The sequence below is a fragment of the Homo sapiens genome, chromosome 12, assembly GCF_000001405.40.
Source record: "Homo sapiens chromosome 12, GRCh38.p14 Primary Assembly".
Taxonomy (NCBI): Eukaryota; Metazoa; Chordata; class Mammalia; order Primates; family Hominidae; genus Homo; species Homo sapiens.
In genome coordinates this window covers 3,286,560-3,313,918 of record NC_000012.12, presented here as the reverse complement: position 1 = coordinate 3,313,918, position 27,359 = coordinate 3,286,560, and the positions used below count along the sequence as shown (strand labels likewise).

The 27,359-nt window shown below is 56.9% G+C and overlaps 2 long non-coding RNA genes across 4 annotated transcripts in view, besides 4 other annotated features; one reads left to right on the top strand and one right to left on the bottom strand.

Moving 5' to 3' along the window:
• LINC02827 (long intergenic non-protein coding RNA 2827) overlaps window positions 1–13,556 on the bottom strand; it is a 38,300-nt gene extending 24,744 nt beyond the window's left edge. For all 3 annotated transcript variants that reach the window (NR_187483.1, NR_187482.1, NR_187484.1), the window contains exons 1-2: window positions 13,506–13,556; window positions 10,650–10,814 (exon numbers count right to left, since the gene is read on the bottom strand). This is a non-coding gene — a long non-coding RNA (long intergenic non-protein coding RNA 2827). The remainder of the gene's footprint in view (window positions 1–10,649; window positions 10,815–13,505) is intronic.
• Window positions 1–15,405, top strand: part of LOC100128253 (uncharacterized) — a 67,609-nt gene extending 52,204 nt beyond the window's left edge. The window contains exons 2-12 of the long non-coding RNA NR_148995.1: window positions 6,101–6,171; window positions 6,443–6,709; window positions 7,051–7,155; window positions 7,858–7,969; window positions 9,982–10,137; window positions 10,516–10,582; window positions 12,927–13,073; window positions 13,205–13,337; window positions 13,478–13,938; window positions 14,383–14,601; window positions 15,268–15,405. This is a non-coding gene — a long non-coding RNA (uncharacterized LOC100128253). The remainder of the gene's footprint in view (window positions 1–6,100; window positions 6,172–6,442; window positions 6,710–7,050; window positions 7,156–7,857; window positions 7,970–9,981; window positions 10,138–10,515; window positions 10,583–12,926; window positions 13,074–13,204; window positions 13,338–13,477; window positions 13,939–14,382; window positions 14,602–15,267) is intronic.
• Window positions 51–100: a silencer, noted in NCBI's record as "silent region_4140". NCBI's record gives its function as "represses an Ori minimal core promoter by ATAC-STARR-seq in GM12878 lymphoblastoid cells {active_cell/tissue: GM12878}" and the evidence as "EXISTENCE:reporter gene assay evidence [ECO:0000049][PMID:35858748]".
• Window positions 129–1,328: an enhancer, noted in NCBI's record as "BRD4-independent group 4 enhancer chr12:3421757-3422956 (GRCh37/hg19 assembly coordinates)". NCBI's record gives its function as "activates an origin of replication core promoter dependent on BRD2, P300/CBP, MED14 and CDK7 cofactors, and independent of BRD4, by STARR-seq in HCT116 cells {active_cell/tissue: HCT116}" and the evidence as "EXISTENCE:reporter gene assay evidence [ECO:0000049][PMID:35650434]".
• Window positions 12,862–13,156: a silencer, noted in NCBI's record as "tiled region #1542; K562 Repressive non-DNase unmatched - State 13:Ctcf". NCBI's record gives its function as "represses a minimal TATA promoter and a strong SV40 promoter by Sharpr-MPRA in K562 cells {active_cell/tissue: K562}" and the evidence as "EXISTENCE:reporter gene assay evidence [ECO:0000049][PMID:27701403]".
• Window positions 13,757–13,976: an enhancer, noted in NCBI's record as "active region_5817". NCBI's record gives its function as "activates an Ori minimal core promoter by ATAC-STARR-seq in GM12878 lymphoblastoid cells {active_cell/tissue: GM12878}" and the evidence as "EXISTENCE:reporter gene assay evidence [ECO:0000049][PMID:35858748]".
• Window positions 15,406–27,359: the final 11,954 nt, after the last annotated feature.

The following is a 27,359-nucleotide window of genomic DNA, read 5'->3' as shown; positions in this document are numbered from 1 at the left end:
CCCTGAACCCAGGACAAGCCACGGGGGTGGAGGAGCAGGCAGGAGATGCTCCACCACTGCTGGCAAGGAGCAGGGCAGCCTGCCCAAGGGGGTACTGCCTGGAGCATCACTGACTTACCCCATCTGCTGGCGAGGATACAGAAGCTCAGCCCACAGGGCCACCATGGATGGCCCTAAAGGTTGTGTCCTATGCAAGGGGACCACAGAAGGCTGGTGCCCTGGACAGTTGGCAAGAGGCTGAGCGCAGGGCAGTGAGGGATGCTCGTGTGCCTGGGGAAAGCTTCCCTGGGCTTCCCTTTTTTTTCTCCATCTTCACCCTCTCACCCCTCACCCCTCCTGACACCCTGTCCCTTGGGGGAGCACCTAACACCCCTGTGTCCACCTGAACCACACCAGCCCTAACGTGCTGAATCCCCGCTAAATGAGCCCAGTGCTCATCCATCCATCCGCGCATCCGTTGTTCAGTGGGGAAAGTAGCACGTAGCAGGTCCGAGCACAGGCTCTGCAGCCAGAATTCCTGGGTTCCATGCCTCACCCAGCCACGTATTTGCTGTGTGACCTCAGGCAAGCTACTTAGCTTCTCCACGCACGTGTGCTCATCTAGAAAACGAGGCTGATGCTCGTGCCCACGTGGCAATGTGATGAGTAATGCTAGTACTCATCTCTGAGGGTGGATGGGAGAGACACGCAAAGTGTTTGCAAGGGGGCCGGCACCTGGGAGCACTCATACATGTTGGCTGTCACTGTCATGGAGCACCACCGTGTGCCGGGCTCTGCTTGGTGCTCCTGGGCTGCTCACATGAGCAAGGTGCTGACTCTGCCAAGGAAGGGTGCTTTTTTTTTCTTTTGGAGAAAGAAAAGGGATGCTTTCTGCTGCTCCCGCCCTGAAAACACTGCGTGCCCCTCTGCTCTTCTCCTACTAGGCTTGAGAAGCAAGACCAGCACACCCTGAGTTGGGGTGTTGCCTCCTAAGCCACTGGCCAGCAATTCTGGGGGGGGGGGTGGGGACGCTGAAGAGAATGCGGGGCTCTGCTGGTGCAGCATGGACCCTCCTTGGTCTGGTGAGCTGGGAGAAGCAGGACAGCATGGGGTCCAGTGATACTAACCGTGTGGAAATAGAACTCCTCCAGATTACAGGGCACCTGAGAATTTCTTACTGACTTTTGTTTAATAATTCAAAAACACATCAAATCAAACTTAATCAAGGCAAAAGCTGTCTCTGGAGCCTTCTTCGTGCTTCCTGGAGTCAAGCTCTTACAGAATCACGGCAGCACCCCCCTCCCTAGCTCACGAAGGAAGCTGGAGGACTCCACAGCTGCTTCAGGAAACAGACTGTCCCCAGGGAACCCTTCAGAGATCTTGGGACCAGACAGGATGTACCTGGACTCCTGGAATTCCCTCTCCAGCCTCCAGGTCCCGTGAGGATGTGAGCTGGAGCAGTACGGGCTTCCCTGATCCTTCCTGTGTCCAGGTGAGCAGCCTCCTGCCACAGAGCTGCCCTCCCAGGCAGGCACAGCGCACAAGGCCGTGCATGCTTCTGTCCGTGTTCCGTTCCTGGCTCCTCGGATCTTCCATTTGTGCCTCCCGTAGTGTATAGGGGCACATAAACAAATCAAGTCCCAGCGTCAGCTGTCAATGTGTGGCCCAGGGTTTCTCAACCTCGGCGCTACCGACATTTGGGGCCTGATGATTCTTTGCCGCAGGGGACTGCCCCATGCGCTGTAGGGCGCTCAGCAGCATCCCTGGTCTCTACCCACTGGTAATACTCCTTCCCCAGCTAATGACAACAGCAAAAGTCTCCAGACATTGCCAAATGTCCCCTGAGGGCCAAATCCAGCCAGGTTGAGAAGCACTGGTATAAATTTAACTAAGGTAATTGTTCTATGGTACTCTCGGAAGTACCAGAAAAAGATGAAACTACTGCCCTCAGTGTGGGGCTGGCACGCTCCCACGGGTTCCTGCTGCCTCCCAGGTGTGCTTTGTAAGACAGCGCACGCCCACACCTTAATCAGGGGATGTTCACCAAGCATGCCTCTACACTGAGCATGCACCAGGCACCGTGGAGGAGTGTGCTGGTCCCCATGCCCAGAAGCTCACAGTCATTCTGGGGGGACAGTGGTAACACCTGAAACAAAAGCAACTGATACAGGGCAGTGGGGGAAGTTGTGCCGTTCATCCAGTGGAGACCTACACCCAGGAATCATGCAGCAGGCATGCGGAGGGACACGGAGGCGGAGCCCCGCCTAGCTGAGGAGAGAAGGGGCAAAGCAGAAAGTGCTGGTGTCAGGAGACAGCAGATGACACGCTGCAGGCATTGGAGGGCAGGGAGTAGCCATCGCTGCTACCTGGCATGGCTTAGTGGAGCCATGACTGAGCTGAGCTGGGTATTGAAGGACAAGGAGGCACCGGCTTTCCAGGCAGTTGGGGACGGAGAGAGCAAAGGCCTGAAGGCTAGATGCCTGGCCTGCATGAAAGGAGCTTCATAAAGCAACACGAGGGATGTTTCTCCGCTTTGCAGACAGCCAACATGTGCCGCGGGAGCCCTGAGATGATTCCGATGCACGGAGGGAGCCGGGAAACGCTGGGTAAATGCAGGGTAGCGGGGCAAAGGTGGATTTGTTGGCATCTGTGCTGTCACACAGCTAAAGGCCCAACAGCCCGGCCCACTGCCCGGGAGTTCTAGCCAGCCTCAGTGCGGGATCCAGATGAGCAGGGCTCTTGGCCTGCTTCCTGGGGCTGTCACACCAGGAGCCGTGACTCAGGGCCTCCCCCACCCAGGTGAGTCACACACCTGCAGCCCTCCCGCTGCGGAAGCTGCTGCCTGGAGCCAGCAGCTGGGGCCACCCAGCCTCAGTCCCTTGAAGTCCCAGGCCAGCCCCTCGCTCCCCTCCCAGGTGTCCTTACATGCTGGAGCCCCTTACTCGGGAGGCTGTCCCCACACCCCTCACCCCTGCCCAGCACTCGCCCCCCCCTCCTCCTCACCCCTCCAGCAGGTCGGTAGCCTGTGTGATGCCTCTGACCGGACTTTGCAGCACTGGCGGGTGCTAACAGCCTGCCATTAAACTTAAGCGGTGAGGTTGTGTCTCTCCCTTCCCATCCTCCCTGTTCCCCACCCTGTCTTGAATAGCAACCAGGGCAGGGACTCCCAGGGGAGCAGCGTGACGCTGCCACCTCTTCAGGACTATCTTCTGGGCCTGACTCCCAGCCCATGGTGGTAATAGAAGGAAGGTGGTGAGATGCCAGGATGCAGCCCTCCCTGCTGCCAGCGGCCTGGGTCTCCCGTTCAGTTACAGACGCTGCAGCACCTCACTCCCTCTAGGTTCTGGGCGGCAGCAGGGAGTCGGCCTGTGCACCACAGTGGGAGGGGAGGGCAATTTGGAGCCAGCGGGAAAGGCACCCATGTCAGAGAGGAGCTGTGGGGCCCAGCAGTGCGGGGGTCTGGGAGAGCCCCTGGGTGCGGGTGGAAGCAGCCACACTCTGTCTGATGGGCCAGGCGGCTCCCAGGAGGGTGAGTGCTGGGCTGCACCAACCGCACCTGCCACTGGCTGACAAGGACCACACACCTCATGCTATGGGACCTCAACTTCAGGGAAGTCAGGAGGCAGGGCAGACCACTGAAGCCTGTCCCTCCCACCACTTCCCTGTTGGGTGCCCCCATCCACTTGGGGTGGGCAGAACCGGCAGTAGACATCTTCCCCATCTGCTGATGAGGACAGGGAGGCACAGCCCACAGTCAGGGCCACCGTGGATGGCCCTAAACGTTGCGTCCTATGCAAGGGGACCAGAGAAGGCTGAAATGCGGGCCACTCGACTCTTTCTGAGCCACATTTTTTCTCATTGGAGCACATTTTTCTAATTTACACCAAGGCACTAGCAGCCACCCGACTGGAGTCAGCAGATGGTGGAGACTAGACCCAAGGCCAGTTCATGGGCATCTCTGCCAGCCTCCCTTGGCATTCAGGCCCTACTTTTCAGGGGCTCCCCCAGCAGAGGAACCATCCACAAACCCTCGTCAGCCTCCTGCCTCAGCTTCCTGGGGATACCACTCAATACCACCCACAGACCCAGGCAAGCGGGGCCTTTGCCTGGGCCGCACTCAGCCCTCCTTCCTCCACACCTCTCCCCATGGAGCGGAAAGTCTGTGGGGCTGAGAGATGTCCCTTTGTGGAACCTGCGGCTCCCTTTCCCCACTTCTAGACCTCCTCCCAGGAACCCAGGAGCTTGGAATCCTCTGTCCATTCAGCCTATGCATGCAGCATCTGCACAGGTGTCCTGGAGCTGACGGGACCCCTGGGACGTGCCCCTCTCACCTGTACCCACACAGCACCACACCCAGCCCTCTCCACGGGCTCGGCTAAGGGGCATCTCCCCCTGGGGGAGGGCGGACAGGAGGCCTTTCCTGGTGCAGCATAGAGCCTGGGGTAGAAAAGGAGTGAGGTAGGGACCTGTTTCATAGGCTTTGCCTCAGGCCCTCAAGTGATGGGGGCAGGCCTGACACCGTTATTCCGAGACGGAAAATTCCCCCGCTATCCCCACTGTTGGCCAGCTCCAACGCTGGGAGACAACAAATACGGCGCAGTAAACTTGGAGCAGGGGGCGAGTAACTCGCTTCATTTAAAAGCCTTATTCTTGGGCTGAGGCTCTTTCCCTGTATGAAGAAATGTCCCCTCTCCTTGTGTTCCTTAAGCCCTGCTCATACCAGGCTCCTTGCCGAATGGTGCAGGAGGTGATTGGATAAGCCCCATGGGCCCCTGCACTGGCCTTGCCTCTGAAACTGGCCACAGCCCCAGTCCATCCTAAGGAGCCCCCCACCCCCAACTGTCTCCCTCCAGCCCACCCTCCTTTCCCTGCTGGGTGAGCCCTAGAGCGTCAGGTGTCACCCATAGCCTGGGCCTTCCCTAGAACCCAGCCATCCCAGTGACTATGGGCAGCTACCCTGCTGTGGCCAGAGGGGTGGGCAGTGCCCAGGGGCAGCTCGGGGGGAGGTGCTCATGAGTGCGGCTGAACTCCCCCAGGGCACGGCCAATTTCCATCAACAGTCCTCCCCCGTCTTCTCTCCTCCCTTCTCTTCCCTTGTTCCTGCCCAGTGCTCCTCGGTTGCCTGAACTTATCTGGCTTCATCCCCCTCTCCCTGCCCCCTCCAGCCCAAGTGGGACTGACATGCGTTTCAGACCTGTTGGCTGCTGCAAGAACACGCCAGGGTCAGGGTGGAGCACGAGCCTCCCTGAGGTGGAAAGCCAGCTGGGAATGAGGAGGGTCACACCTTCCCTGCGTGTGTGCATGGCCAGGAAGTCAGGCAGTGGCTGCAGCGGGGCCATAAAGCAAGAAGGGCAACCCCAAGCCTAGAGGTGGCCAGGCAGCGGTGAGAGGAACTGAGAACCCCTGCGGGGCCACGCAGGACAGGGAATGGGCATCGGGGCTGGAAGAGGACACACGAATCACCTTTCTGATTTCTGCCTTTGCTTTTTCCTGAGCCTTGGTTGCTGCTGCCCAGCCCTGCACTCCAGCCATGTGGGCGCACTCTGCTCCCTGAACACAAGTGCCCCATGCTTTCCTCAGGCTCCAGGCTTTGTACGTGCGCTCCCGTCTGCCTGGAATGCACTTCCCTCCTTCTTCGCTTGGCTAATGCCTGCTTGTCCTTAGAGATGCCCCTCAGGTGTCACCGCCTCCAGGAAGCCTTCTCTGACTGCCCTCCCCGCCAGGAGCCTCCCATCATTTCTAGGGCTTAACCCACAGTTACACTGATAGCAATTACATTGATTGTAATCACTCACCTGTCCTCCCCACCATTAATAACTTTGAGGACAATAGTTGTCTTACGCTACTTGGCACCTGGCATACAGCAGGTATTTATACATATTGGATGGGTAGGTGGATTACTGAATTGCTGCCAGTCCAATGAGCAAAGGGATGAGTAGGAAACTCGCTGCCAGCAGCCAGCAAGGCTGGGATGTCCAGAGCTGCTGGCGAGAGAAGGTAGATGGCACAGGTGATGGGGGTCCCTAGCAGCTATCTCTACCACCCCCACCACGTTGGGGAAACATCGGTCATAGGCGTGTCCTGATCCCTGGTGGTGACCCTCTTCTCTCCTTGCTCCTAGTATTTCTGCCTGTCACTTATTATCTGGTTGAGCTGGTGGCGGGAGTCCCGGCCCATGTGTGTTACCAGAGGGTGAGTGGATGCTTCCTCCTCCTCCATTCTCTGTCTGTGTCCCGATGAAGCCATGCGCGGGGATAAGGGGGGTGCATGGTGATGGGGGAAGCTGCGGCAGGCACAGGGGTGGTCCCGCTTTCCACCCTGGCAATCTTCCACACATCTGGATCCCAGCTGCTGGCCCTGGCTTCAGCAATTCCCTGACTCCACTGATGCTGATGTCTTCTGCATGGGAGTTGGGGAGGGGGGCTTCCCGTGGGAGCTTAGGTCATCCCTCTCCCCTTTCAAGGATGGTCTAGAGAATGAATCCATCTGTCAGAGGCATCCAAGAAGAAAGGCCTGGGCCAGGATCACATGGAAGACCCTGAAGACAGGATCGGGTCTTGCCTGCCTGGATTGAACAGAGACGCAGTGACCAGTCCCATCTGCTCCCACCCTGCTGCCCTCTGAATCGAGAGTTTGAGGCCATGACCAGGGTAACGTTCAGCTGGTAGAGACAACACAACCCTGCTGGCTGTTTAAGCCATGCTGGAGTGGTGCTCACAGGGTAACAATTGTAAGTATTTTGAATATCACCTCTTAATCAAAATTAAGATCAATAGACATTTCAGTTTCTGGTGTCTAGCCTCACCTCCGCCTCCCACCACCTCTGGCTGCCACCCTTTACCTGAGCCTCCCAGCCTCCCTCAGCTCTGCCCAGTGCACCTGCGCCCTGAATCAGGGCCCAGCTTCTGTAACCTCCTCTTTATGGCCATCTTCTGCCCTGTTTCCCACTGATAGTCATCGCACCATCCACAGGCCACAGTGCTCTAGAGTTAGCTGGGGAGGCCTGGCAGCAGGCCTGGGTGGTAGGCAAGGGTGGGGTGGTCCCGCTGATGCCATCTTATCACTCCTCAGCTGAGTGATGAACAGAAGCAGCACTTGAGCCAGACTCTGACCAAGAACTGCGGGCAGGCTAGAGCCACACAGATCCCCGCCTCAGTAGACCGGCTGCAGCAGGAGGTACACCATGCCCTATGGCCTTGAAGGCCAAGCAGACACAGGTTCAAATCCTGACTCTCTTCTTTCCTGTCTGTGTGGCCCTGGCAAGTTACTTACCCTCTCTGAGCCTCGGTTGCCACATCCCTAAAATGAAGCCTCTTTAGGGTATGTGAGCATTAAATTCGGTCACACCTGTAAAGTCCCTACCACCGTGAGAAGTGCCTGCTGAAGCCTGGTTCCTCTCCCTCCCTCTCCTTGACTCCCTCCTCCAAACCCACCCCTGCTGTCTTCCCGTTCTGGGTCCTGGTGGGCAGGAAGCTGGCAGTACCAGGAGAACTCCATCTCCTGCCAGGATCTGGGCCAGGAAGCCTCTCTCCGGGTTTCTCCTGTCTGTAAGGCTGCCTTCCTTCTTCCCTGGGGAGCGGGGAGCTGAAGCCCCATAAAAGGGAGCGCTACCCGACGGGGGTATTTCAGCTAAGCCACCAACAGAACTCCCCAGTTGTGAGCCAGCAGGCAGGATGCTGAGGGACAGAAAGGTGGTCTCCTTTCCAAGAAAAGATGCGGCAGATCCCTCCAGCGAGGCCCACCATCCTGCCAGACATAGGGGGCGGGCAGTGGACCTCAGAGCTGTGCTGTCCAATACGGCAGCCACCGCCCACATGTGGCTATTTACAGTTAAATTAAACAAAATCCAGTTCCTTGCTCGCACCAACCACATTTCAGGCACTCAGGAGCCCCAGATGGTGAGTGAACGCGGAGCTGGGCAGCACAGATGCAGGACGCTGCCTCCATCGCAGAAAGTTCTCCTGGACGCCACTGTTCCAGATCCTGATGGGTTTGTGTCAGAAAATCCAAGTCTGCTCTACCCACCTGCTCTGGTCCCCCTCTCTCTGCCACCCCACTCCCCACCCTCACCCCCTGGGCCTGGGGCCTTGGTCTTGGCCCAGGGAACGTCAGGCAAGTGGAAGACATAGACGTCATGAGCTCCAAGATCCAGGGGCATCATGGCTCAGTGCGGAAGCCCTCACCCCATCTCCCCAAGACTCAGGCTCAGCTCCCAGTTGGCAGAGGGGTCTCTTTTCTGAAATAGTGGCCTAGGGCACACGTGTATACACAGGTGCACACCCACAGGCACACGTGTACCCCACAGACTTAGCCCTGGACTGGGATGGGGCAGCACACACCACTGGTCAGCCCTGTGCAAGACTAAGTGTGCAGTCACTGGGCCGCGCCTGTGAGGACCTGGGCGAGACAAGAATAGGACAGAATCCCACCCGCGGGCTCGCTCAGAAAGCCAGACACACAGCAGGCAACGTGCAGACAGTGTGAGGCTGGGGCACCCCCAGAATAGGGAGCAGGGGAGGGGGGGAGGGCTCCGTGGGGCAGGGGCAGGGTTTGCTTAGGTGGAGGGGTGGGAGTGGCACGAGGAAAGGTACCGCTAAGAGCAGAGGCGGTGTCACCGACCAAGACCTGCAGGGCACCAGTGCACGCGAACGCAGGCCCTCACACAGGCCGGGAACAGTTAGAACCCCAACCTGCATCTCAGGCAGGAGACCGACCCCCAGAAAGCAGTGGCTGCAGAGCCAGGGCTAGCGTCAGGCCTCCCAGCAGCACCCCATGGATGTAAATGACACGGGCACGCGCACCTGCATTCACACGACGATGATCACAAAAGTGTCTCTCATTAACTGCGGGTGCTGCGCCAGGCTCTCTTCTAATTGCTTTCCATGAATCACCTCTTTCAGTCCGCACGATGGCCCAGGGCGCAGGTCCTTTTGTTGGCCCCATTTTACAAGCAAGTGGCCCAGCAGTCGTGCGGCGCCAGCACACACAGACAGAGACACAGGGATGTGTGAGGCCGCGTGACTCCCTGCCCTCGCTGCGCCAGTCCCTGCCCTGTCTGCTGCAGTTATGTTCGGCCAGGACGCCCAGCACCCCCGTCCATCCCTGTGGACGTTTCCTAGCCCTGGACAGAGGATTCACCCCTTCCTTCTCTGGGGTTCACACACAAGCTTCCATTGTCTTCTACTAAACTACAGTAAATGCTACACTACTTCAGGGCAGGACTGGTGCCTGACTCATGTTTGTTCACTCCAGGCACATGGCAAACCTAGCAAAACGCTGGTAGCTGAACTAATGAACTAATACCGCTCCGCCCACCCAGCCCCATTCCCACACCAGAGACAGCCTCCCAGCCGCTGTGTTCTGTGGCCCGTGTAGGGACTTGGAGTCTCAGGGCCCTGACTCAGAAGGGCAGGAAGTGGCCTGAGTCCGCTGCCTTTGAATTGCTTTCCACCCTGGCTGGCACTTTCCTGCCCTGGAGTGGTGCCGACGACCCCGGGCCTCACTCAGCATTCACACCGGCCCCTCTGGCCAACACTGACCTGCCCACACCGTGGACTCTGGGACACCCTTTGTGTCCCTGCATGTCTGGGGCTCTGAGGTTTCACCTGGGAACCCCTGGCAAGGCTGGTCCCTGTCCCCGTGTCCTGCCTCCTGGATGACCAGGGCCTCCTTGCCCCTTGTGGCTTGTCACCAGCCTGCGTTCTGTCAGGCAGCAGTACACAGCCCCCCTCTCTGGGGACCCCCCCCTCCATCTTGCCCACCTCACAGACCTACCCTGCCCCCAGGACACCCAGCATAATCTCCTTAAAGGACCTGGGTGACTGCAGGTAGCAGATAGGTGTCCTGCGGGCAGTGCTGGCCCCCAGAGACCAGCTCTCTGCTCAAACAGGGAAGGCAGAAATCGCAGGGAGAGCAAAGAGGGGTTGGGTATTTGAATCCTGTGTCGTCGGCCCTGGAACCCCACACAGGCTTCTCACCTCCAGCCTCTGCCTCCCCCTGCAGTTCAAGTGCTACGGATGCAATAGCTCAGCGACTGGCAGCGCAGCACGTACCTGCTGTCGTGGGAGGTGAGAGCCACCAGTGCCCGACAGCGGCTGCAAGGCAGTGGTGGCGCTCTGCAGCCAGCCGGCCCACCCCTCCAACATCTGCAAGGGGGTGGTAAGTGCCCCAGCGCAAGCTGGGGACAAGGAAAGGGCCCCAGCCTGGCCTCCAGGAGCCCCCAAAGGGCTGGGGTCAGGCAGATGGGTGTGGGAATAGCAGAGCACACATGATTCTTGGCCATGAGCCCACAGTGCCAGGCCCCTCAGACGCTCTACAAAGCCCTGGGACAAGCAGCTCCTGCTGAGAGAGTCCAGGGCACCATGGCATGCTCCTGGGGCCACCCACGAAACCTGTGAGCCACTCAAGGCCAGGTCCAGCCCATGAGTCCTCTGGTCCACCCTCTGCCTCTGCCATATGCACCGGGACGGCCAGCCCTTCCTCCCCACCTGTGCCTGCTTCTGAGCCAAAGCCATGACACCTGCCCTTCCCTTGCAGGGAGGCTGCCTCACCAAGCTACCTGCTACTCATGGGGGCGATGGGCATCAGGGTGGCCTGCCTGGAGGTGAGTTGCAGTTGGGAGATTAGGAGGAAGGTATGTTGCAGTTGGGAGATTAGGAGGAAATACTCACTCGGGATATTAAACTAGGCTCTGAACCCGTCTCCAGCGGCAGATATCTCCAGTAACTGGGCTGGCATGTCCGTGCCCTGCGCTGCTCTCTTCTCTCAGCTTCCCTTTGCAACCAAGGCTGATTCCCACAGTCAGTCTCTCCCCCAGAGAACATGAAGGAAGATGCCTGAGGGACAACATTAACTTGTCAGGAACAGGGGCCTGGGAGGAGTGTGGATGTGGGCTCAGGTACGGGCATGCACCTTGAGTGTGTGCATGTGGGGGTCAGTGTGCAAGCCTGCCGTGGTGTGTGTGGGTCCGTGGGGGTCCCCATGTTCCCGGGTCTATGTGGGTGGGGTGGTATGCACTGTGTGTGTTTAGGGTGCTTGTGCATGTGTGAGTGTGTACATATCTGCATTCATTCCTGTGTGTGTCTGCGTCTGTGTCTGTGTGTGTGTGTCTGTGTCTGTGGGTGTGTGTGTGTGTGTGTGTGGGTGTGTGTGTGTGTGTGTACCATCAGCCCTCCATATCCACAGGTTCTGTATCCTTGGATTCAACCAACCATGGAATAAAAGTACTAACAAAAAGGATGGTTATGTCTGCACTGAACATCCTTGTCATTACCCCCTAAACAATACAGCGTGACAACGATTTACATAGCATGTGGATTGTATTAGGAATTACAAGTAATCTAGAGATGATTTAAAGAATGTGGGAGGATGTGCAGACGTCACATGCAAATACTGCACCATTTTATATCAGGGACTTGAGCATCAGTGGATTTTGGAATCCAGAACAACTGTATATAAGTGCGCGTGTGCGTGTGTGTGCGTGCGCGTGCGTGTGCGTGTGCTTGTGCACACACATTCCCCTGTGTACATCCAGCTCTCTCCCTGAGGATAAGCAATGCCCTTGGCTCCCATTTCTCCCTTCCACCCAGTCCCCCTGCTGCCACCCAGGAAGTCAAGGTCACTCTCTCAGGCTGCTGTAGTCAAGGGTCCAAGGGAGGGGAGCCAGGAAGGAATCCTCAGAGGTGAGAGCCCCCGCAAGTGTAGGCTGTCCTTCTAGAAGGGGCCCAGCAGTCCTGCTGTCCTACCCAGCCCTTCCCCGTCCAGTGCTATGAGCACCGTCTAGGGAAGAGGAAGAGTAGTGCTTAGGCCTCAGAAGACCTGAGTCCAGTCCTGGCTTTGCTCCTGTGTGACCTCGAGCTACTTAACTTCCCTATCCCTCAACCCTTCATCTGCAAAATGTGAATAATTTCTTCAACCTCCTAAGGTCTAAATAAGAATAAGGTGATGCCTGTGACCCACTTACAGCACATGGCACAAATGAAAGCCTCCGTAAGCCTTTATCCAGCTGTCCGCAGACTTCAGAGGATTTCCGATACTTCCTCTCACTGGGTCCATACAACAACCTGAGACCCAGGCCAGACAACGAGTAGCGTTCTCACTTTACAGATCAGAAAGTTGAGACCCAGAGAGGCAACTTGCCCAGGGTCTCACCCCCTGAAATGGCGCCCCGATCTCCTGATATTGGCCCTTCGCTTTCGCAAACTCCCTACCCCGACTCAGAGGTCTGTGGGAAAGAGAAGCAAGGGATGGTGGCCTTGGCTGGCTTGGAGAGACTCCCAGCATAGGGTCCTTTCAGATGATGGTGCCAGCTACCCACATGGTCTGTGGGCCTGGAGGGTCCAGCTACAGCCTAACATGCTGGGAGGAGGGTCTCTAGCCTTTGGAGGGACACTCACCTTGGTTCTGCCACCTGCAAGTTGTGTGACCTAGGGCCATTTATTTCATCTCTGAGCCTCAGTCACTGATTTGTGAAATGGGGCTGACCGGACCTCATCTGGTAGCTGGTGATGGGAATTAGCAACACCCATGGAAGTGTCTGGCTCACTGCTGAGCAGATAGCAGGTGCTCAACATGTGACACCATCATTTGTATTCTCTCTGCAAGGGCACACTGTCTCTCAAAAAAAAAAAAAAAAAAAAAAAAGCCCCAGTTTCTCCCTGGCCAGACCAGCCTGCTCCCCTTCATCCTCACTCACCTGCAGGGCCAGGGAGCCCAGGTGGCGTTAGCATTGCCGCTCTTTTGCACCTCCCCAGGGCAGGTCTTCTGTCCCATGTGCTGAACCCCAGAGGAGTCACCACTGGGAACTGGGGCAGGGCTGCTCTGTGCCACTGCACCAGGCTCAGCTGAGGTTTCCAGAAATCTGTGACTCCCCGTGCAGAGGGGGCCTGCTCTGTATGGACTCCGACCAAGCCTGGCCCACTCTGTCTATTTCTTCCTGACCTCTCCAGCCCCGAGAGCACATAGAAGCTGCCAGATGAGGGCAGTGAGGCCGAGGGCCGGCAGTAGGGCTGCAGATGCCCTGAGCCCTAAGGTCAAGGTGGATGGAACTGCTGTGTAAGTCTGATGCCGAGGAGACCAGGTCGTTGGGCTTTCAGGTGAGTGGACGCTTTCTCCCCACTCACAACCCCCACCATGCAGTCTCTGCTCCTCCATGGTCACTGTGGAATGGCTCCTGATGGCGCTCAACCCCTTGCCCTGTTTTCTCCCCTGCGGTCCACTGAGCCAGCCCTGCGGCCGCCAAGTCTCAGGTTAGAGCTCCCTCTCGCGGCCGATGCTGGGCACTACATTGCCCAAGACCCAGGTGGGCCGAAGTCTTGAGAAAGGGCTCGCAGTCATCGTCGCCAGCAGGCAGACACCAGGCACCTACCTCCCCGACATACCCAGCCTGGTACCTCGAAGACCAGTAGCCTTGAGCTACACTTGGGATTCCCAATACAGTTTCAAAACCGTCTAGCTCATCTTTCAGGAACCTTCCAGGGTTCACATTCTGATTTTTCAGTAAGGTTCTCACCTCTGTGACCAATTACCTTGAGACTGATGTCCTGCACCATCCTGGAGTGTTGGGATCTGCAGGTCGTGAAAAGGGAAACCAAGCAATCACTTTGGAATGACTTCCTGGAACTTCCCTGGCCCCTCCTTCGTGTTCTCTGATGACAGCCAGGAGCTGACTCAGAAACCTCATAAGAAGCTGAAGGCATGACGACTTCCCTGTTAAAAAAAAAATGTCCCACGTGTGGCCGAGTGCCACACCCAGGCAGCTGCCGAAAAAAAGCACCAGACACCATGCAGCTGGGCCCCAGGGCCCGGCCCAACCCGGTTGGCCTTCTCCGGCACCTGCAGGGAACTTGTCCTGTCTTGTCTCTGCTCGCCCCCTGCTGGCTGCCTGGAGCCATTCCGTGCTGGTTTCTTCGCGTCTTCTGTCAGGAGAGAGATGCTGATGCTTACTCAGGGATCCGGCGGGTCAGTATCCTGTGCCCTCTGCACGATTCAGGGTGGGGGTGTGCGCGTGTGTGTGTGCATGTGGACCCACATTGATGAGTCTGGCCCATACACCTCCACCCTTATTGGACCTCTCCTGGGAGCACCCTGGGAACACACATCTCATGCAGAAGTGTGTCTCTTGAGAGCCTAGCTCCTCCTGTCCTCCCCCAGCATCAGATGTACACTGTACGAGACGTGAATTTTGCTTACAGCACAAATCTGTGCTGGCCTAACAGCTCCCTTCTGGCCTCCCCCTTAGCATGGATCAGAAAGATCCAGAAAGTGCACAGGAAAATCATCAACCCATGAGGTGGGGACAGGGGAAGAGGGCATGCCGCATAACACCTACGTGGGTGGAGGGGCTGTGACAGCCACTTGCTTAAGCTGGTGGGACATGAAATAACCTCCTAAGCCACATTTCAGCTGTGACCCTGAGGCCCCGAGGTGGATTAACAGAGCCCTCAGCACCGAGTCTCCAAGCTGAAGGCAGTGGTCACACTCCCTGCTGCCCTCCAGGTTTGGAGGGATGGAGAGGAGAGAGGAGGGGAAGAAGCTACCTTCTTCACTAGCCTTGCTGAGAGACAAGTGGGTACGGCCCACAGGCACCTCCACCAGCCTGCCCTCTACATCCAGATTCGCAAGGTCAGGGCGGCAGCAGCAGCTGGAAACATTGGGGAAAGTCGGGGTGTTGTTTCTATACTTAGGGGAATCTACTGTCACCCCAGGTGGCACGGGACATTCACGGGGCTGCTCTAGCCCAGTGCCCCTCTCCTGCAGACAGAGTCGAGACCTGACAACAGGTCATCATCATTATCAGGATCATGATGACATTATCCCAGTGCATCCTTGAGTGGGAGGGAGGAGAGGAAGAAGAAGGTGGCGGGGGGCAGGGGGTGTCCATGAAGAGCAAGGTGGGAGAATAAAGGTCCTCTGTGTTTTAGAAATGGGAAGTGAGACGGGGCGGACAGCGACCTTCCCAAGCCTGCGCGTGCTTTGGGTAGGATGCTCCAGCCCCTTCCTGTTCGGCCCCTGGTTGCCGACAGAGGGGCTGGCAGGCGGGACTCCTGCGGCTGGGCTTGGCGCTGCCTTCTGTGCTCACTGTCAGAGCTGATGACAGCTCTAGGGGCTCCTCCCAGAGTCTCCGTTTCCCCCATGGCTCTTGCACATGGCAGAGCATCCATAACGGACCTGAGTTTTGTTCCGGAGTCTGAGGGCAGCAAAATACAGGCCGTTTCCCAGAGAAGAAGGCGGCTTCAGACAGCTCTGATGAGGGAGCAGAAATACTCACTCGGGATCTCATTAAACTAGGCCATTTCTGGAGAAGCCCTAGGACCACAGACCCACAGCATCGACGGGGAGCTTGTTAGGAACGAAGACCCTTAGGCCCCCACCCAGGCCTGCAAACTTGTAATAAGGGGGTCCCCGGGTGGTTTATGTCCATTAAAGTGTGTGACACCCTGCTCTTGGACAGTAGTTCTTGGAGTGCGGCTCCCCCACTTTCACGGGCATCACCTGGGAGCTTGTTAGAAGTGTGGAACCGCAGGCCCCACCCCAACCTAAGCGGGAAGCTGCCCTTTCTCCAGGCCCCAGGGGACTCACATGTGCACTGGGCATGAGCAGCACTGCTCCAGAGCCCTGATGGCTGACAGCCTCAGGGAGTTCTGATCTCTCTTTGCTCCTTTGCCCTCTCCACCTGCAGGATGGGTCTCATCTGCTGCTTGCACCGAGGCTCCAGCGACATTTTTACTCATGGTCAACTGCGTCCCCTGCCAACTGCCCTTCGAAGGACAGGCGCCACATCCACCTGCCAGGCCTGCAGCATTAGCACCAGCTCCACTAGGGCCACAGATGCCCCCTCCTCTGTGTCCAGCCCCTGCAAATGCACCAAGTGCCTTAGACCATGGCTCCCCACCTAGGCGGGGACCCTCAGCCCCCTCCCCTCCATTTCTGAGCCCTCACAGCCAGAGCCTTGGCAGGAGAAGGACCCTCACCAGGCACGGGGGTGCCGGGGACCACAGGAGGGTGATATTTGGGCCCTCTGCTCCCTCCCAGCTCCCAAACCTGGGACAAGGCTGAAAACCCGGGTCCCCTGGGATGCCTGCATTCTGGGCAGGATCCCCACCAGTGCTCAGAAGCCCTCGCTTTGCTGTCCCCTCTGGGAAATGCATGGGGTGGGACAGGTAGGAGTGGCTCTTCCCCTAGATGACCTAGCTAGCCCTTCAACCTGCCTACTCCCCACACTGCCTCACCTGGAAAGCCGTGTCCTGCTGGCCTCACTCCTTCCTGCAGGGCCTGGAGGTGGGGAGGCCAGAGGCAGGGCAGTCACAGGCTGGGTGGAGCTGCCAGGGCAGGGATGTGGGGTATGCTGGCCACACTAGCACATGCTGCACCAGGAGCAGAGCCCTGCACCCTGCCTAGTGGCTTTCCCAAGAGAAACCCCTCTGGGAGACCCTGGCTCCAAGCCCCGGCCTCTATAGTAATATGCCCCTCGGGGATCTCCTGGTCTGGGGCCTGATTCTCAGGAATGCCAGTGGGTTTTTTGTTTTTGTTTTTGAGGCAGGGTCTTGCTCTGTCATCCAGGCTGGAGGGTAGTGGCGTGACCAGGGCTCACTGCAGCCTTGACCTCCCAGGCTCAAGCGATCCTCCCAGCTCAGCCTGCTGACCAGCTGGGATGATAGGCAGGCACCACCACACCTGGCTAATTTTTTAAACTTTTTGTAGAGATGGGGTCTCCCTATGTTGCCCAGGCTGGCCTCAAATTCCTGGGCTCAAGCCATCCTCCCACCCTGGCCTCCTATAGTACTGGGGTTACAGATGTGAGCCACTTCGCCCAGCTGAGGCATGCCTGGTTTCAAAACTATCTTCAGCTCTTAATGTTGGTGGGTGTAAAACTCATCCCAGCGTGGACTAAATCACAGGCCCTGCAGAGTTGGAGGGCTGAGAAGGGGCAGCTCTGAATACAGGGGATCTGCCCGAACCTCACTTTTCCTGGGGCCCCTCTCCCCAACCCTGGGGCCACCACCGTGTTGCTTCCAGAGGGTCTCGCTCTCCTTCCCTTTTTCCGCCCGTCCCAGGCTGGATAGAGTCCCTTCCTTTGGTCCTGTCTTGCATCTGTCTTGAATTAGGCAGGGAGTTTTCAGGAAGAACTTTCCCAAATACTAAGGGAGAACAGAGAGGAAATCCTATGAAATACAGAGTATTCATGCTGGCAGTCTCATGAAGGGTAGGTATCAACTTTTGCGACAACCATAGGTACCCCCCTAAATGGCTATTACAAGTGGGCACCTTGAGCATAACACGGGAACCCCACGCCTGGCCTCCATACCTCCCAGGTCCTGCACTTCTCCCCAGAGGTGGGCCCTCTTCCCCCTAAAGCACAGCGCCTTGTGATGCGAAGGCCGAGGCTGGGAGAGGTCACACCTGGTCTCTCCACATGTTCCAGCTCCCAGCCTGCTGAGCACAGCCCTTGCTGACCTGGGCTGGCCCTGAGGAGGGGTGTGCTTGCTCCCGTACACAGGAGTGACCTGAAGGCCCCTCACTGTGGTCACAAACACAGCCCTAAACTGTCCAGAAACTGTATCCTCAGAGCGGGAAGTGCCCACGTGGACAGAGAGAAAGCCAGCCTCTCGGGGCAGATTGCCGCCTCTACTGTGAGGATTCTCCAGGGGCTACCGAGAGGCTGGGCTGGTTTATCTCCTCTGCCTAGAAAGGCCTGGGGTGGCCAATGTGAACTCATTAAAAGGAAAACCAGCTTTCCCAGAAATGACTGCTCCACGGCCAAGAGAAACAGTGTGACGTGATTATCCTTGCTGCCCTCCAAGCTGGGCTTCGTGCAGATCATCGAAAACTGATCGTGACTCCCCAGAGCTCTGAAGTGCTGCATATCAACTGACAAGACCTACAGACTGAGGGCTGAGAAAGAGGGAGCGTGCTGGGCCAGGGTCTTGTTCTTCCTGGTGGGGCACCAAGAGAGGCAGCAGTGGGTAGGAGGGCTATGGTTTGACCTGTCTGCCCTGGCAGGGATGGGAGACAAAGGTGGCAGCCCAGGAGAGCCTGCCCCGTCGGCCCCAGCCCCATGTGTTGGGTTGGGCCAGCCTGACTGGAGGCAGGATTAGCTGTGATTCCTGCACTGGCGGTTGTCCAGCCCAGATTTCCGTTGGGGAGATTGGCTGGTCCAAGCTGCAGAAAGTGGTAGGACAGCCCAGAGCTTCTTGGAAATACGACCTCCATGTCCAGGCCAGCAGCCTGGGAGATGAGACAGGGTTGGAGGAAACAGAGGCCCAAGACAGGGCAGGTTCTGCCTAGGAATGCACAATGGCTGGAGTCCAGAGCCCAGGATGCAGCCCCAGCTGGGTGTAGCCCTCCTGCTGCCCAGGGTGGAGATGGATGCCCAGGGCAGGTCCTCCCGGGCCCCTGCTTGGAGGCCAGCAGTCTTGAGTTCCTTGGAGAGAGAGGACATGCCTGTGGAAAGTCATCACCAGTCCTGTATAGGGCAAAAGCCTCCTGCCCACCAGGGCCTGGGCAGAGAAGCAACAGGTACTGGGATCCCACACAGCTCAGGCCAGCACGTCCACACCCTGCACACGCCATGCCACCATTCCCCAAGGGGCGGACACCAAGACAGAAGGGTACGTCCGTCCCTGTGTCCCCCGCATGACGAGTGTTGGTGGGAGGCAGGGAGTGGACAGGGATGGAACCTGGCCTTGGGGGAGGGGATGAAGTGTGTGTGCCCATTCCTCTCTTTCCCCCGCCACACTCCCCGACAGTCTAGCCTCAACCCCGGGAGCCCTCCAGGCAGGGCCACCTGCGGGGTGTCTGGCGAATGCCTTGTACTTACTGAGGGCCTGCTGTGCACTTAGAACGTGCTACTTGCCGTCAGTACATTCGCTTGCAGTTACTCCAACAAAAAGGTATTTCCCCCATTTTACAGGTGAGGAAATTGAGGCTCAGCAGGGTTAAGAGGCTTGCTGGTCAGCAATAATGGCTGTTGTCTTGCCACCCCAGCCGGGTAGAAAGAAGCAAAGCTGAGCTGGGAGCCCCCTGTCCTCCGCGTCCCATGGTTCTCCATCTCTGTAACAAGTGCTCAGGCTGAGGTTCAGAAACAAAGTGTCCCTCAGGGCACCATCCGATAGCAGCAGCTTCGGCACCCCCTCCCACCAGGTTGAACGGAATCTGGCATCTGGGCCAGGTGCCAGCTGCCCTGCACATGTGCGTGGTGCAGAAGCCTAGCTTATTTCAGGCTGACAGCCGGGCCCCCCTGGAGCAGGGGCTCAGGCAGCAAGCGAGCCTGGCAACAGCCCGGCCCATCGTCTCAGGTGCCAATGCTGGCCCCGCAGTGAGAGCAGGGACTGGCCCTCAGCCCTCGGAGCCTTCACACAGGGTGTGGAATCTCATGCCCGTGTGGAGATCACTGGGGGTTGGAGAAAACCTCAGGTCACGCCCCCTGCCAGAGCCAGCCTGGGCAGGGAGGGGACGCCTGGGGGTGTGTTGACCACCTCCCCCTCAGGCGACACCCCTCTCTGCCTTCTTTCTCCATGCTATACGAAGCGCCTGCTGCTGCCGGGGCTCTGGGGTGGACACTACTTTCTGTTTTGGGAAGTTCACCTTGTGCACGGCCAAAGGCCCTGACAGCCAGAAGGGCCCAATGTGGCCCTGGGGGCAGGGGGGCCATGGTATGTCAGTATGATGTGCCCGGGACCCTCCAGCCCTGTTGCCAGCTTTGGTCTCAGAGTCTGCCACTCCGGGCCCCTCTTCAAGGATTTCAGGCAGGGGCAGTGAGGTGGAACAGTCACCATCACCACCACCCACCCTAGGACCTGCCTTGAAAACATGCTCCGTGTACTGGCCACTCTGAGCCTGAGGAAGGAAAGGGGCTTTGACTGGCTGCAGAGACAACCAGTCTCTGGTACCGCCGCTGGGTGGTGCTTACATCTGCTGAGAACGTCGTGACCAAGCGTCTAAGCCAGGAGTGATCAAACTTGAGTCAGCATCACCTGGGGGGGGATGCTTTTCCAGATTGCTGCCTCCACCACCAGAGTTTCTAATCAGGAGAAGCAGAGCAAATAACTTGCATTTCTAACAAGTCCCCAGGGGCTGCTGCTGGCCCTGGAACCACACTTTAAGAACCACTGCTTTAGACCACGCCCCAGGGACACTGCCACCCCCCTCAGGGTTTAAAAGTCCCTCAGGCTGCCCAGCTGCAACTGTCCCCCTACCTCCATCGTGGGGTTGGGGATGAAGCATGCCGCTATGGTCGCTCACAGCCGACCAGGAAAGCCTTCGCACTGTGCATCTGTGCGGCGCCTGCCCTGCCCTGCCCTGCCCTGGACGGCTCTTGGATGGTCTGTGGCCTTGGCCAGGAGACCCGGTGGCTGGGTCCCTTCCTGGAAGGAGACAGATTACACTCCCCAGCCTGCTTTCCCACCACCTCCTATGTGCCCTGGGAGAGGCACGACAACATCCTTGTTGCTCCCTTTTCCTACTTTTTTAAAGTTTTTTGTAGAAACAGCGTCTCCCTATGTTGCCCAGCCTGGTCTCCGATTCCTGGGCTCAAGTGATCCTCCTGCCTCAGCCTCCCAAAGTGCTGGGGTTACAGGCATGAGCCGCTGTGCCCTGCCTCCCTTTTCCTGCTTCAGCACATGGCCCAGCCCATGCTCCCTGCCTCCCATGGGCCTTGCCTCCTCCTGCTTATAAACCCGGGACTCCCCTTCCCCAGCCCGCCCTGTGCAAGTGCGGCTAATCCTTCAGGCAGCCCAGTGTCAGCAAGGCCAGATGGGCTCCTGGAACCAGCTGGCCCATGGATGTGGGTCATCACAGTATTCCAGAAACAGAGACGATGGCTTAACCTACTGCATATAGAGAAACTGCTCTCATTGTAAACACACCCCTCTCCATAGCTGACCTCAGTGTAAGCCCAGCTTCACGTGCTAGGGGCATGGTAATGAATAATAAAGGATTCTATCTAGACTACCTCTGTTGATTTTTTTCCCTCCACTGCGAGGAAACCCCTGCCATCAGTTCACCAAATGTATGGTGACATCCTGAAGCCACGTTAGCTGTGGCTTCCCCCTGAGTAAACCCGCTGGCCACATTGCGCAGGGTCCTGCTTACCCTTCTGTCAGCTCTGGTCATGATTTGTTTGAATTGACTTCTTCTGCTCACAAGTGTCATTAGCTCCTGGCTGTCAGCGAGAGCCAGGCTCAAACATGTGTACTTGAATTGTGTTCCTTGTAAAGCTTTCTGTCTCTGGTCAGTCAATATCTTCACACCGTTTACCAGGATGCGCAACCAGCCTGTTAAGAAATCTGCGGTGAGCCTTTCCCCACTTCGTGCACGGCCCTCTGCCTGGATGCAGGAGAGGCAGAGTGTGGGGAGAGGTCACAAGCAATGGGGCTCCCCCTGGCTGAGACACACACTCCTACTGCCACCTGGACCCCCAGACGACCTCACTCCACAATGACAGGGTTTCTCCACCTTGGACCAGCTGGTTCGTCCTCATCCCCAGATCCAGAGTTGGACACCTTTTCATCTCAATGCAAAAAGACGAATCTTTGCTGAGGCCATCAGGCTGCCCAGCGCAAGGAAAAAGAAATACGCTTTCCCTTCTATGACATGGACACTCATTCTCTCTCATTCACTCTTCTGTCTAGAAAACTTGCTTGAGGTGGGGTGGGAAGCCTGAAGAGTACCCGGGTAAGCGGAACTCAGGGGATCCCCAGACAGAGGGGTGGGGGTGGCCTGGGAGGCAGCTGAGAATGGAACCGCACACCTGGTGTGGTGTGAACCCGACGCAGCCTGGCCACGTGCTGTGTGAACAGGTGGATCCACCCGAGGTCCAGCGGGGACCCGCTTCGCACGAGAGCCCCAGCCCTGCCCCGCTCTCCTGTGTCTTCAGGACCTCCTTGGCCAATGTTCAGTCGTTCACTCAACGGCCACAGCAGCAGCCTCTGACTGTCTGGATGTTGAACAGGGGAAGGAAGCCAGCCCAGGGCACGCTCACCGTCATCTGTCCCATTGGACCTGGACATCTACTCACCTCCACCATCACTGAGAGTGTGTGTGTACCGAGGAGGAACAAGTACCACTCCAGGACCCTCCCTGCTGCACAGCACTGTCAGTGGTTGGTGACTGCTGTCCCCACAGCCCTGGGCCTTGTCATCCGGGCAGGCAGCAAGAAGCTGTGCTGAAGCTGTGCCTTGGTGGCTGCCGGCTGGCCTGTCAGCTGCCACTACTTCCTAGCAGGTACTGATGCCTCATGTCAGCCCCAGCTGGGCTGTCACTGCTGCCTCAGGGTGCCTCGAGCTGGGGACCCTGGTTCTCATTCTCTCTCCACAACTGAAAAGAGTGAGGCTGCTGGTGGGGAGGCGAGGGCACAGGGGCCAACAGCCATTTTCCTCTTAAAAGCAAACACATGAGGCCGGGTGTGGTGGCTCATGCCTGTAATCCCAGCACTTTGGGAGGCCGAGGCGGGCAGATCACTTGAGGTCAGGAGTTCGAGACCAGCCTGGCCAACATGGTGAAACCCCATCTCTACTAAAAATACCAAAAATTAGCCTAGCATGATGCCGGGTGCCTGTAATCCCAGCTACTCAGGAGTCTAAGGCACGAGAATCGCTTGAACCCAGGAGGCCGAGGTTGCAGTGAGTCAAGATTGCGCCACTGGACTCCAGCCTGGGCAACAAAGTGAAACTGTATCAAAAAAAAAAAAAAGCAAACACACAAGAAGCTCCTACTTCTTTTTCCTCCTGCTTCTGCCACTGGTCAAGCCCTATCTGGCAGTGACCTGAGCAGGAAGGAGAGGACCTGCGGAGCATCCGGTGGGAGGCTTTGCACCAGACCAGGGGAGAGGAGGGAAAGAGTGAGGCGGGAACCCAGCCCTTTCCATTAGCAAGGTACGAACCATGCCACTGCACTAAGGGCATAACACAGCCATCCAGACCCAAAGGGTTTATGTTCCCATGATGGGGGTGAGGAACAACTTCGCTGGGACTTTTAAAATATTGAGAATAGCTCAGGAATCTCTAATCCTCCTTTAGAGAACCCTGAGTTGGAGGCCAGAGGTCAAACCCAACACACTCTCTTGGAGGGGCCATCTGGTAAATAAGAAGGCTGAGTCCTTTCAGGAACTAGGGTCCCTTGCCAGAGAAAAGAAATATATTGAGAACATGTAGACACTCCCTGACTTACGAAGGCGTCACATCCCAATAAACTCATCATAAGTTGAAAATACCATAGGTCAAAAATGCATTTAATACCCCTAATGGCCGGGCGCGGTGGCTCACTTCTGTAATCCCAGCACTTTGGGGGGTCGAGGCGGGTAGATCACGAGATCAGGAGATCGAGACCATCCTGGCCAACACGGTGAAACCTCTTCTTTACTAAAAATACAAAAAATTAGCTGGGCGTGGTGGCGGGTGCCTATAGTCCCAGCTACTCGGGAGGCTGAGGCAGAAGAATGGCGTGAACCCGGGAGGCGGAGCTTGCAGGGAACCCAGATCACGCCACTGCACTCCAGCCTGGGTGACAGAACGAGACTCCGTCTCAGGAAAAAAAAAAACCCTAACCTACAACATCACAGCTTAACCTAGACAAACTTAAATGTGCTCAGAACACTTGAATTAGCGCACAGTGGGCAAAATCATCTAACACAAAGCCCACCTTACAGCGAAGTGTTGAGTATCTCATGTCGTTTATGGACTGCTGCACTGAAAATGAAAAACAGAATGGTTGTATGTGTACTCGAAAGAAAGAGATAAGCGTTTTTACTGAATACCTATGACTTTCACACCATCATAAAGTCAAAAAATCATAAACTGAACCATTATAAATTAGGGACCAACTGTATTCTGATTCCAGAAATTGAGTGGAGGAGTTGAGGTGGGAGTAGGGAGGCAAAGGACAATGAGCTTCCTGAGGTCATTAAATCAGAGCATGTGGGCTGCAGTTCCCCTCGACCACCAAAGCTAGCCTGGCCTTGCTCTGGACACTGCTGTAGGCTGTTCCAGAACTCAGTAACCAGAAGAAAAATCTCCGGGCAACAGGTGCTAACCGCAAGACCCGGCCACAGGCCACTGTGCGGCCTTCATGTCCCCGTTCACCTCTCTCCTCTGCACATAGGGCCAAGGAAAACGAGGCAGTGCCCAGCTCTGCCCCAGCTGGCTCTCAGCTACCTGGTAGTCTCTGGGCTGCAAAGGAGAGGTTCCAGGGCGTCAGCTTCAATCAGGAGGGCTTGGCTCCAGCGTGCCCTGTGGAGTGCTGTTACTCTTTTTGTTAGCTTTAGGAGACAATAGTCTATCTCGCTCCTGTCATTAAACTCAGCAAAAATGAGATGGCTAAATCAATAGCCTACCAAGCTTTGCTGACGGCTTTAAGAAGGGACCATCGCAATGTCAATATTTTTGTGTCCAAAATGACATTTATTTAATCTGGCTTCCTTCTTGCTTCTGTGGAATATTGAGTGTTGCTGCTGAGCCAGCCCAGGGCAAAACAAAGGCATGGGGAAACCTGTTCCCTGAGCCCCTGCGGGCAGCTCACTCTCCCTTCATACACCAGCACCCCTTCCCAGACCGCTCTCCTGTGTCCTTGGGCTGAAAGCTGCTCTTCCTTGGGGTCCTGCCTTTCATGTGGCGACCCAGGTTCAACCAATTTCTTGCCAAGCACCTATCCTGCTCCAGGAACAAGCCGGATGCCTCTACATACATGTCTCTATTTAATCCCCACAACAAATCTATAAAATAGGCATTATCCTCATTTGCAAATAACAAAACCAAGACAAGTTCCGAGGCTCACAGGGACACCAAATGCAAACTGGGAGTTTAACCCGGGTCCTCTGGCACCCACATCAGTGCTCCTCCCATGCACACCTTGGTGCATCTCTGATGGTGAAAGTTTAAGCACAGTGACAGCTGATAAGACCGTTTTGGTCAGGAGGAGCCTAGATCACATTTATGGAAGCATTTTGCAAGCTGTGCAGCTCAACACAAACAAAGAGATTTAATTGCACCATGCTGATCTCTGTCATCTCCTGCACAGAAGCACCGAGCCCAGAAAACACATTCATCCATCCATTTGATGCAAACAATTAGTCATCTGCCTGTCTGGGTTGAGGGTGTCATGTTGGGCGAGTGGCAAGAACGCTCCTTCTCTTTGCATAAATCTAATTAACCACCAAGGCTCGCAGATTCTCCTGTGCATCTCTCAAATCTTCCGGCTTCATCTCCATCCCACTGCCCTTCCCTAAGGCTCCATCGTCTGTCACCTAAATCACTGCGGCACCTGTGCCTGGTCCCCCGGTGGCCTCCCCTGTCCCTGAAAACTCTCCACACTGCAGCCACAGCCAGCTTTCTAAAGGCTACATCTGAGCCTGTCACACCTGGGCTTAAAGCCTTTCCACAGCTCCCACTGTTCTCAGCCTGAACTTCAAGTTCCTTGGCCTGGTTCTCAAGGTTGTGATCTGGTGGTCACCACCATCTCCAGACCTTCACCTTCACCCTTTGTGCTCCAGCTCTGTGGACCACAAGCATCCACAGGACACATCTCCTGCCTCTCTTTGCCAGGTGAACACCTCCACCTTCAGCTCTTAGCTTTGACATCACCTGCTCTGGAGACCTCACTTCCCCAGGTTCAGCCAGTGACTGTCCCCCAGGGCTTCCCAGTGCCCTGTGAACATTGCTGCCACTACTTACTTGCAATCACAGGCACTCTTCTGGGGTCCCCACTAAATGGTCGGCTCTGAAAGTGCAGGGACTGGGTCTGTGTCGTCCACGACTGTGTTCTAGGTGCCTGGCACGAGTGAGTATTCAGTAAGTCTTTGGGCAAACAGACATTTGTCTGTGCAAGCGCCACTGTTGGCCCCATGGAAAGCTGGCGGGGCTCAGAAGCCACCCTTTCTCACTTGCCCTTTGCTGAGCACCAATGGGGAGGCAGTTCCATCACAACACACAAGAATGGGGGCGCAAAGGAGGGACCCCCCCCCCCGGGTCATCTCAGCCACTCCCTAGACAGAGGAGCCCAGACCCAGCCCAGAGGTGCTAGCCTCGTCACTAGAAGTCCCAAAGAAGATGCTCCTCTCCCGCACAGCCAGGGCAACCAGAGCCGAGGGTTAAGAGAACAGCCAGTGTGTTCCATTGCCTGGAAGCCCCAAAACACAGCACAGTGACCCAGTGGGCATCTCAACAGGCCTGGGGGCAGGAGCGAGAGTAAGAATGAGCAGAGACAGGGTGGCATCCACCCAAATTCCTATGAGCTGGTTTGTCCTCCGCAGACGATGAGGGGGTCACCTGCTCCTCAGCCACGATCAATCCTGACCCTACAGCCACAAAGTCTCTCTCGGTAAATATCCTGGGGAGGTTCCCAGGGACATCACTCCAGCTGGACCTTAGACAGAGGGTGGCTCAGACTCAAGGCACCGTCTCTGGAGGCTCTGGGACACAGCAGCTGCAGGAGGGGGCCCCAGAGGTTGATGTTTTGGGATAATTCTGTGTGGACCTGGCCACTCCCTTGAGAAGGCGGGAGATGGAGTTCCACAGGCAGAGGGGTTTCAAGATGCTCACCTCCAAACCTCCAACTGCTCTCAGACCCCCATGCACACTCACCCTCACGCCTGCCTCCACCCTGGGGACATGAACACAGTGAGGACCAGCAAGGGGAGTTCTGAGCTTCTCATCTGCAACTTGTCACCTTGACTGACAGCCAAGGAAACCCCACACACCAGGACCCCAACCAAGGCCGCGGGAGACTTCGACTGCAGGAAGGCGGCAACGTCAGTGGCCCAGCCAGCAGCTCTTCCTGCTCGCGGTTTTAATGGCCTTCCCTGCTGACCATCCTCATCCTGATTTTGTTCCTTCTTTGAGGCTGTCCCAGTCACCCTGAAAAGGCCAAGACACACTGTGAGGCCCCCTCAGTCCGAGACATCAAGGTCAAATGAACCCCGGGAACATCACAGGGATTGGGAAGAAGACTGTTTCTGAAACTGACAGCCCCCACCCCTACAGGAAGCCCCTTACCCTACTGGAAGCTGCTAGTGGCTTATTCCATACCCGCCCCACGATACACTTCGGGGCCTGGCCACAGGACTGGCCATGTGTGATGGGTGATTGGTACGGAGACAGGACTTCAGCCTCTCAGGCAGAAGGCCTCGGGCACTGGGACTGCCCCCTGATCCAGCCTGTTTCGAGGGGGGATGTTAGGATTCCTCAGGCACCCAGAGAGGACAGAGACCCTCCCCACGCCAGCAGATCTGTGACCTGGGCCCCAAAAGAGAGATGAGGTCCCCCTGGGGGTGTGTCTTGGATGAAGGGTAGGAGTGGTATCTGATCCCTCTGGGTCCCTCACACCAACCACGACCTAAGTCACAGTTTTGGCTGAGTGAACAAAACACACCACTGAGAGACAGCCTGCTG